At 47.7% G+C, this 10,399-nt stretch overlaps 1 annotated feature.

Annotated features, from left to right (window-relative positions):
• Positions 1,029-1,777: an enhancer, noted in NCBI's record as "H3K4me1 hESC enhancer chr9:45762061-45762809 (GRCh37/hg19 assembly coordinates)". NCBI's record gives its function as "activates a minimal SCP1, AML or CMV promoter by ChIP-STARR-seq in primed H9 embryonic stem cells {active_cell/tissue: H9 hESC(primed)}" and the evidence as "EXISTENCE:reporter gene assay evidence [ECO:0000049][PMID:30033119]".

Here is a 10,399-nt window from a genome sequence, read left to right as displayed (position 1 = left end):
TTGAAAACATATGAAAACAGAGCAGTATAGTGTCCTCATCATGCAACTGCAACAATGGTCACACCAGGATCTTGGCGTGTCTATACTCCCACCCACGTTCCATACCCCACTGCACCATTACTTGGGGTGGAACTGGGTTGGTTTTGAAAGAGGAACAGCAATTCCCCAAGTAGAAAGTGCTGGAGGGAAAAGTTTGCAGGCAGAGGGGATGCTGTGCTCAGAAGCTTGAGCAGTGCCTGATGCTGGTACATCAAACCGAAGCTGAAGGAGTGGGACAAGATGCTTTGGCCCCCGTGCATTCTGGCCCTAATGCATCTGTCACACAGCATGCCCTGTGGCTCCTTTTGGAACTCGGGTCTCCAGGCAAGTCTTCGGAAGAGCCAGGTTAGCGCAGAGCCAGCCCTTTGAGTGCAGGGAGTGAGGAGGCACCGCTAAGACGGCGGGCCTTGGCTGGGCGTCCGCGGGGCTTTGGTGGGCCTAGAGCGCTAGGGACTGGCACGCACCAGCACTGAGGGGCAAAGCGGGCGCAGTCAGGCCCTCCACCCCGCGTCGGCACGCGGTCTTAAATATTACCCCGGAGTTTTCAATTATCTCTCCTTAATGGATTTGCAGGGGCTCTTTCATCAAGCGCGGGGTGGCTGGGTGTGGGGGTGCGGGGAGCGCGCGGCGAGGGCTGGAGCTGGGAAAATGGCCCATATTTCAATATTAAAGCCCTTTACGATCGTCAGCAGCATGAAAGATGCTGCAAATTAAACGGAGCCGCCCGCGCCAGCCTCTCCATCTCGCAAGTTTTAATTAACGCTGAGGGGGAGGCGGCTGACGGGCGGGTCGGAGCCGGGCCAGCGGCGGATCTGGGAGCCTGCGGATCCCAGATTCCGAACTGGAGCGTCAGGGATCTAGCGGGCCAGGCCAGGCGGAGGCGGAGGGTGGTGGGCTCCGAGTCCCGGGCGAGGGCGCGGAAGATGCCCGTGGAGATGGGCAAGGCTGAGGGGTGGGGGACAGGTTGGAAGGTCTCTGAGCATCTGACCGGGAAACAAAACTCTGCAACTGAATGCAGGAAGCTTTGTTCTTAAAGGTGAGGGGGCTTGTGGCCAAATCATCGAGCTCTTCATCCCCAGGCTCCTTCAGCGCGCGTCCTTCTGCCTCTCTTCTTTCGACCAGCACTTCCCCCAAACGCTCCCCCGCGTTGATTCCCGGTCCCCTCCCACCTCATCCTGTGGCTCCTTGTTTCGGGACGCAGTTGTGCTTCTGTGACCCCGCGGCTCCTGTTCTGGGACGTCTGCTTTCTCCATCACTCCCTGGCTTCCCGGGCGGGCCCCATCCTCCTGAGCGGAGCGGAGCAGCGCGCACAGAAGCGCCACTGTTCTGCCTTGGCAGGGCCTGGCCCGACAGCTTGTGCCTGCGCAGCAGACCCATCCGTCAGGCGGGAAGGATGGAGCGACGTCCGGCTGCCCGCTCTGAGGACTCCCCAGGGAGACACATCTGGCCTTGGCCCAGACTCCTCTCTTCCCTTCTCCCAACCCGCCAACCCTTCCCCCAAATACCAGCTCAGTATATACTTCTGTCTCTCCTCCTTTCCTTGCTTCTCCTCCTCCCTCCCATACACATGCAGCCTGGGGCCTGGGGCCCAGGAGAGCTACTCCTCTCATGGGTCACACTGAGAAGTCCTTCCTCCACCTGCATCCACATGGCAGGGCATAACTCTAAAGCTTAAAAAGATCCAGCGATCTCAGTGGACCACAATCCAAAGCTAAGTCAGCCAATCAACACTCAAGGGCTTAAATCAAGGACTTTGGGCAAACCCTATAGAGTGGAGGAATTAGAAAAATAATACAAATAAAAGACATGGTCATTATTCCTGGGTATTTACAGATACTTCTTTGTGCTTCCTGAAATGTTTTGCAGAAATCACATTCTCCTCTCATTGTGCTACACAGCTTGTAAGCACCAAGACAAGAAATTCTATGATAAAGCAAAAAGAAAAGAAAAGAAAAAAATCCTCTTCTACTTTCTTCTTGGTGTGTATTTTTTCTTGTCAATTTCTGATAATCTATCAAGCCTACTTAAAATAGTGCCTGCTTATGCAGTATGGTTAGGATGATGAACACACTTAAACAGGATAGGGAATAAGTACAAACTACAAGTGCTGTGGGGATGCAGAGTAATAGGACAAGTGGTGAAAATTAAAACATTTTTGGCTTAATCAAGGAGTACTTCCTGGAAGAGGGGAGACCTGATTTGGAAGGAGAGGTGATATAAACTTGAAAAGAAAGTTCCAGATGTGGAAACACTGGTTTTATTCTTTATTTTTATTTTGAGACAGGATCGTGCTCTGTCATCCAAGTTGGAGTGCAGTGGCACGATCTTGGCTCACTGCAACCTCCACTTCCCGGGATCAAATGATCCTCTGCCTCAGCCTCCTGAGTAGCTGGGACTACAGGTGTGTGCCACCACACCCAGCTAATTTTTTTGCTTTTTTTGTAGAGATGGGGTTTTGCCATATTGCTCCAGCTGGTCTTGAACTCCTGGACTCAGGCGATTCCCCTGCTGCCTTGGCCTTCTAAAATGCTGGGATTATAGGCATGAGCCACCACACCTGGCTAACACCGGTTCTAAAATTAGGCAGAATCTATATTTTACTTCAGGTTGAGGAGCAGATAATCTTGGCTATATTTTCCCTGACAATACAGTAAGATGAAAGAAACCTTGTGCAATAGCAGGAAGAATTCAGGGTAGACAGTGGGATCTTGGCTAATGCTGGAGACTAAAGTGAATGGAGAGAGACCCTGAAGCACCCTTCTCCCATACTTGGCTATGGGCTATGGGAGGGATGCCTGGACTCTGAGACTTGGCCACCATGTTGTGTTTTGCCATAGAAGATTTGGACATGAAGTTGAATAAGGCAGGAACGACCTCACAGCATCAACCACAACCCCCAATGTGGCTGGAGAAGGAGGGAGAGAGGGCAAAGAATATCTTCCTCTTACTCAGATTGTAAGTGGAGAAACTGAAGTCCATTCACTCAAATCCATAAGTGTCTACTGAGCACCTCCTATGTGGCAAGCACTATATAGGCCCTAAGGATCCAGAGATGATCAGGGCATGGTCCCTGTCAACATGGTGCTCACAGTCTAGTGGGAAATAGAGTTCACTCGTCATTCTATCATTCAATCAAAAACAAAAAGTATTGAGCACTTACTCTGAGCCAGGCAGAGTTGCAGGTGCTGGAGATGCAACTGTGAACAAGACAGACCCAATCCCTGCCCCATCAGAGAGTACTACCTGGTGCAGAAGACACATACATAAACAGGCAGCTATAATTCAGGGTGATGTATGCTATGAAGGGGAAAGGACAGTTGCCATGGGGTGGCATATCCATAGATATGCCATAGATCCATAGGTTCCCATGAGGGGATCTATCCGAGTCTGTGAAAGGGGATGTGAGGATGATGTGGAAGAAGCAACACCAAATCTGATCTGCTCACAAGGTGCGCAGAAGTCAAGTGTGGGATGGCATGGGGAGGGTGTCCTGGGCCGAGAGTTTGTGTTCCTTTTCAGCATCTTACTAGGAGCTTGTGGCCAAATCAGGCCCAGGCAGAGCTTCTTCCCTCTAGTCACAGGATAGCACTGGCCTGCACCAACACAGTTCTTCCAACACCAGCAGGGGAAACCAGATGATAATCCTAACAGAGCCAGACCAAGGAATGAGGTTATCAGTTTTCCTTTTTCTGCTGGGAAGTTTCTGCCTTGGGGCTAGGCTATGTAGGGGGAGGCTGGGAGGTGGGAGGGCACTGTGGAGGATCTTACTCTTTCCACCCTCCTCTCACTGATCCTAGTTTTGAACAAGAAACAGGTGATCTGTTTCTCTAGTTGCAGCTGAATAGAAACCAGGACAAGAAAGTGTTGTCCTCCTCAGACACGTTTCTGTCTCCTGGGTCCTAACCAGCTGCCTACTTGAGCCATCTGACTTCAATCCACAGGGCCTCCCAGGAGCTGAATCCAGAAGGGCAAGAACAAATTAGCAAAGCAGGAAAGGGCATTCAGAAGAGAACAGCATGGGCAAAGGTCCCAAGGCCAGAGGACTTGGAAACTGCAAGTCCCTCAGTGTAGAGATGAGTCTGTAGAGGAGGTTGACACAAGCTTGTGAAAGACCCAGTATGCCAGGCTAAGGGGGTGGGAACAGTGAGGGACACTGAGGGTTTTATGGCTTAAATTTTGACAAGTGTATCTACATATAGACAACTAATGTAACACTCCTTTTTTTTTTTTTTTTTTTTTTTTTAGAGATGGAGTCTCACTCTGTCGCCCAGGCTAGAGTGCAGTGGTGAGATCTTGGCTCACTGCAACCTGCGCTTCCTGGGTTCAAGTGATTCTCCTGCCTTAGCCTCCTGAGTGGCTGGGACTACAGACTGATCCCACCACATCTGGCTAATGTTTTGTATTTTTGGTGGAGACAGGGCTTCGCCATGTTGGCCAGGCCGGTCTCGAACTCCTGAGCTCAAGTGATCCACCTGCCTCAGCCTCCCAAAGTGCTGGGATTACAGGCAACACTTTTTTTAATTTTCTTTTTTGAGACAGAGTCTTGCTTTATCATCCAGGTTAGAGTGAAGTGGCTCAGTCATAGCTCACTGCAGCCTTGACCTCCCGTACTCAAGCAATCCTTCCTCCTCAGCCTCCTGAGTTGCTTTCAATTTTTTTTTTTTTTTTTTTTTGAAGAGACAGGGTCTCACTATGCGGCCTAGGCTAGTCTCAAACTTCAAGAGACCAAGGTGGGAGGATGGCTGGGCTCAAGAGATCCTCCTGCCTTGGCTTCTCAAAGTGCTGGGATTGTAGGCATGAGTCACTGCCTGTCCATATAAAGTAACACTCTTGAACTCACTATCCAGACTTGAGGTTTTGTTAAGTTACTGTTAAAATTTTGTCAATTTTGCTCTTGAGTTTTCAAAATAAACAGGTCATTACAGATAAAGTTGAAGTTCCCTTTGTCCCTTCCCCAGTACCGTTCCCCTCCCTTTCAGAAGCACCACCATCATATATTTTTTCTATTTTTATCATAGATATATATCCATGGATAACATTATAAGGCTTCAGTGCATTTTAAAAAGAGGTCCAATGGTTATGATATAATTTATAACTTTAGTTTTCCATCGCACATTTTTAAAAAAGTCTTTATTTGGCCGGGCGCGGTGGCTCACGCCTGTAATCCCAGCACTTTGGGAGGCCGAGGCGGGTGGATCATGAGGTCAGGAGATCGAGACCATCCTGGCTAACAAGGTGAAACCCCGTCTCTACTAAAAATACAAAAAATTAGCCGGGCGCGGTGGCGGGCGCCTGTAGTCCCAGCTACTGGGGAGGCTGAGGCAGGAGAATGGCGTGAACCCGGGAAGCGGAGCTTGCAGTGAGCCGAGATTGCGCCACTGCAGTCCGCAGTCCGGCCTGGGCGACAGAGCGAGACTCCGTCTCAAAAAAAAAAAAAAAAAAAAAAAAAAAAAAAAAAAGTCTTTATTTGAGGTTTTCGGCAAAGTGCTGACAAGGGTAAAACTAGTGTTAGAAGATCATGCTGGTTACCAAGTGGAGTATTCCAGGTGACAGAGGAGGACCAAGGATGGTGACAGTGGGAAGGAGGAGACAGAGGTAAAAGGAGACTCCACACCACAGGTCACTGGTGATCGCCCTGTGAGGGCAGGGTTGTTTTATACATGCTGTTCTTCAGCACCATGAACAGGGCCTGGCTGTTGGAGATGCCCAGTAAATATCTGTTGACAGAGAAAGGTTGACAGGGGCAGATGGATCCAGGATGACTCCCAAATTCCTAACCCAGTGCAAAAGCCTGGATGATGATCCCAGTCTCCATTATGAGGGCCCCAGGAGGAGAAGCTGGATTGCAGGGAAAGATGAATCCAGAAGCCATCTCTCTGATCTAGAGGAAACGAGGCTGTGCTGTGTGGAAGGGATTAATGTTAGGAAGCAGACCAGACTTCCGTTCTTAGGACAGAAAAAAATCTTGTAGCGGATAGTTCAAGGCTATAAAAGATCTGAAGGGACCCAGAGATGGTAAGAGTGGAAAGGTTCAGTCCTGCTGGGGGCAAAGGGATAGTTGAAAAACAAGCCAAAAACAATAATCACTTTCCTCAGAAGGCCAGGAGGGCAGGGCCCAGCTTCTCCATCAGCCACAGCGAGTGTCTTATAGCCCTCTGTGTGGTGGGTACCCACAGCCCATTAGCCAAGGCAGAGGAGGAGGAGGAAGGTATAGTAAGTGCATCTAGGATCATAAAGACCTTGTCAGATGCCCACACTCAACTTTGCTCCCACTCCATATTCATCAACAAGATGGAAAAGTGGGGTGCTCACAACTGCTTCTTAGGACTTATTCTTGACCAAATTCAATTTCTCTGTTCAGGGAAGGATGTGAAATATAACCTGCTTTCCAACTCTTAAGACCCAGAGCTCTGGCTCTTCACCTCAAAAAGCTACCTTCTGCAAGAGCTCCCTCAAAGTCACTGCCACCCCCACTTCCTCACCCCACCACCCCTGCCCCAGGCACAGCCACCACCCACCCTCTGCTGCTAATTCACCTATAAATGGTCTCCTGCCTTGCGTCTCCACTCAGTTTTGTTCTTTCTCTAACAGGTTCCACTCCCCTGAAAGCCCACCCGATCCTTCCTGTTACCCTAGCACTAACTTCCTAAATGAAGTGCGGTGGCTTACAGTTCTGTCCTTCTCTGTTTTTGTCACTCTTTCCACTCACAATTCTTTGGGTCCTGGCTATGGTTAAGTGGCATTTCTCTACTTCATCCCTGGGTGCAGGGACAGAAATGCTTTTACCATCCCCAGTGCCCCTCTCTGGGGGTAGCAGAGAAGTCACTTTAGTTTTGTTTGGTCTGGTGGAGTAAGGCATGCCCTTCTTTCAGAGAGGGAGCTGTCATGGATCTAAGCCAGTCCCTGTCCTAGGAGTACTTGCAATTTAGACTTGCTCTTTAGTCAAGGAATTTTAAATATTGTAAAGCAATGCCGTAGCTGGAGGGGGAGAATCTTTGAATCCCCTTTCCATGAGTCTGCTATTTGAAGGTGTGGTGGGATCCCTTGGAAGTGTGGGCCCCTTGTACTCTGGATCTAATCCTTAGAGTCACCAAAGGGCCAACATAATGATTCTCAAACCAATCTGTGATCGGTCCCCTCATACCTTGAACTTGGGCAGGCTGCTAATTTTTATCAGAGCAATACACCCTGTAGATACCACCTCCCTGAACTCTAAACTGAGCAGAGCTCTAAACCATCAAAGAATCAGGCTATATAGACTTCCACCTTAAATGGGTGTAGATTCAACATGATTCCGAAAGTCACGTGACTTGCCTCGCTAACCAGGGTTCTTCCTCAGTGGGGAAACTACTTGGGCCATTTTTCCTTCTCCTTTTCACCTACCTGAATTATTACATTTATTTATAATTAACATATATTGCATGTAATATTAAAAAAAATAAAACTTAGAAAGACTTGGTGGTGGGTGCTGCTGAATTAGGTATCAGAGCCCCAGTTAGGTGGGTGTCCTGTGGAGTTTCTGATGAATCAAAAGCCGTTTTTGGGCACTTTAAAAACATGGACGCCTTGAGCCCTGGGCAGCCCCAAGGCTGTGACTACCGAGGGCACCCACAGAGGATTAGAACTGGGGCACTGGAATGAGAGGACCATCAGAAGCAAGGCCTGGATGCTCAAATTCCCACCACAGTCATAAAACTTAAGAGCATCTAAGTCGCAAGCAGCTTTTAGTTTCTTTCTTAAGAATCCAACTAATCTTGTGTTCCACCTTGTAGCCTTCTATAAAGTGTGACCATTCACTTGGTTGATGATTAATGATTCAGCTAGTAATTATTAAACAGAAAGGAACCAGAAATAAGAATCACGAATTTACACAAAACATTTCATGTTCTTAATGCTAAACTTGAAGGTAAAACACTAGGAAGGTAGAAAACACAATGTTGCTATTTGTTTTGTTCTTCTAAAGAATGAAGAAGTCAGATTTCCTGGTCCTTGTGTAGGCTCTCTTCCTGACAGGGTTTCTCAAACTTTTCTGCCAAAGTCCCTTTGTTATTAGAGGCAGGAGGGTAAACTTGGACCCCAGCAGTCTGGGGGATTGCCCTGAAGGGCCATTAGCAAGGACCAATTATTTCTTTTTTTTTTTTTTTTTTAAAAAAAAGACATGTTTAATTAAATAATAGGTTACTTCATCTTCATTATTTGCATTATATAAAAATAGGATTTTTTATTAATAAGAAAATAGCAGATTCTTTTGTGGCCTTAAGTTTTAGCTCTAAAATGATGCAAACTTTGCATTTTATAACGTAGTATATTTTATACAACTTAATATAAAAATGATGTTTTAAACCATCTGCCATCAAAAAACCTCTGTGGCCCTCAGAGAGGCTTCTTATATATCCGGGGACACCCTCAGCGAGCAGCTACTGCAGTGTGGCCTGGGGAACTTGCACCCAGGTGAGAGGTGCTATGGGGTGTGGTGGTTTGTTAAACTAGCTGCCACTGTCCCAGGTTGTATCTTTAATGACTACCATTTAGTGAGCACTACTATGTGCCAGACTCTACGCCAAATGCTTTTATATGCTTATGCCATTTAAATTCTCACAACCACCTGCCTAAGGCCACACAGCTGTAAGGTGGCAGAGTGGGGATTCAAACACCTGTCTGCTTGGTTTCAAAGCCAACTGTGACCCCCTGCTGACTCTTAGAGGCCAAGGCTGAAGCCCCTGGCTGAGTGAGTGGTGGTGACCTGGGGAAAGGACTGTTGTGGTGCATCTGGAAAGAGTGTCGGGGGTGTTCCGAAGGTAGTGCCTTATCTCAATTGATTGTTCACAGTCAGTTACAGATCAAACTCCTTGTTCTGCTCCTTCCCCCTTCTCACTACTGCACTTGACCAGTCTTTAAAAAAAAATACATACGGTGCAGGTCTAATACGAGAAGGGTCAGAAAAGCTAGGCTTAGGTCTAGCTCTGCCTTTGACTAGCTATAGGTTCTTTAGGGAGGCCCTCAGCCCTGTCTATAAATGGGACTATAAAGGTCTGTGAAAGGGGCAATGGAAAAAAGATGAATGTTGAGCCACATCTCAGGCTCCTTTCTTGCTCCACTGCTTATCAGCTGTGTCATCTTAGGCACATCACTACGACTCTAAGCCTGTTTCCTCACTTCTAAAATGTGAAGAACAATACCCACCTCACAGGGCTGCTCTGGGGATGAAAAATAATACACATGAAACACCTGGAACAGAGTTTACATATAGTAGTTGCACAATAAATGCTTCCCAATAGTAGTTATCCTTGTAATAGTGGTATTAGCGATACTACTAAAGTATTATTATATAAAGTAGTATTAACAATGCTACTAAAGTATTCATATTTTAAAACTGTGATTATTAAAGTGAGAAAAATGTATGAAAGGAATACTACAAATTAAGGTAATCCACTAAAAATAAGGAGCTGGAGGCTAGGCATGGTGGCCCACACCTGTAATCCCAGCACTTTGGGAGGCCAAGGTGGGTGGATTACCTGAGGTCAGGAGTTCAAGACCAGCCTGACCAACATGGAGCAACCCCATCTCTACTAAAAACACAAAAAAATTAGCCAGGTGTGGTGGCGGGCGTCTATAGTCCCAGCTACTCGGCAGGCTGAGGCAGGAGAATGGCATGAACCTGGGAGGCAGAGCTTGCAGTGAGTGGAGATTTTGTCACTGCACTCCAGCCTGGGCGACAGAGCGAGGCTCCATCTAAAAAAAAAAAAAAAAAAAAAAAAGAGGAGCTGGAGGAGGCCCACCTTCTTAATGTACGCCAAAATAGTTCTGCTGGTTGAAGGCCTGGAGTTCCCTGCAATGGGTGGGGAAGGGGATTAGCCTGGGGAAATAATGCCTGGGTCAAGTTAGGGAAGATCCAGGTCCCTCTGCTGAGGGACAGTTTGGAGGACAGAGCCTGACCCTCCATGAAGAGAGACTCTCAAGGTCTCTTTTAGCTTTAACATTGGCTAAGTGTGATTCTATGACTCAACCAGTCTGCCCTAATTCCTCAGTGTGGGCAGGACATGAAAGACAACCCACCAGTATCTCAGTGAGTTTGTGTGGAGCCCACCTTGGCAGTCACACACAGACACTTCCCAGAGTCTCAGTGATGACGATTCTCTCTAAGGGGAACCCAAGCCTTAACCAAAGACCACCTCTCCATCTTCCTGCTGGGGTCTTGCAGGTCAGCCTAGAGGGAGTTTTCCAGAGCAGGTGGCTTCCTGAGTGGCCAAGATCATGTGAGCAGGATAAGTTCTCTTCTCGCTGGGCCTTTCCTCCCTAAGCTGGTGTCCCAGGCACCTCTCTCTGTTTGGAAATCAGATTCTTTATGGTTTATTTTTGA

The sequence above is a fragment of the Homo sapiens genome, chromosome 9 (assembly GCF_000001405.40).
Source record: "Homo sapiens chromosome 9, GRCh38.p14 Primary Assembly".
Classification (NCBI taxonomy): domain Eukaryota; kingdom Metazoa; phylum Chordata; class Mammalia; order Primates; family Hominidae; genus Homo; species Homo sapiens.
This window is presented reverse-complemented; position numbering and strand designations above follow the sequence as displayed.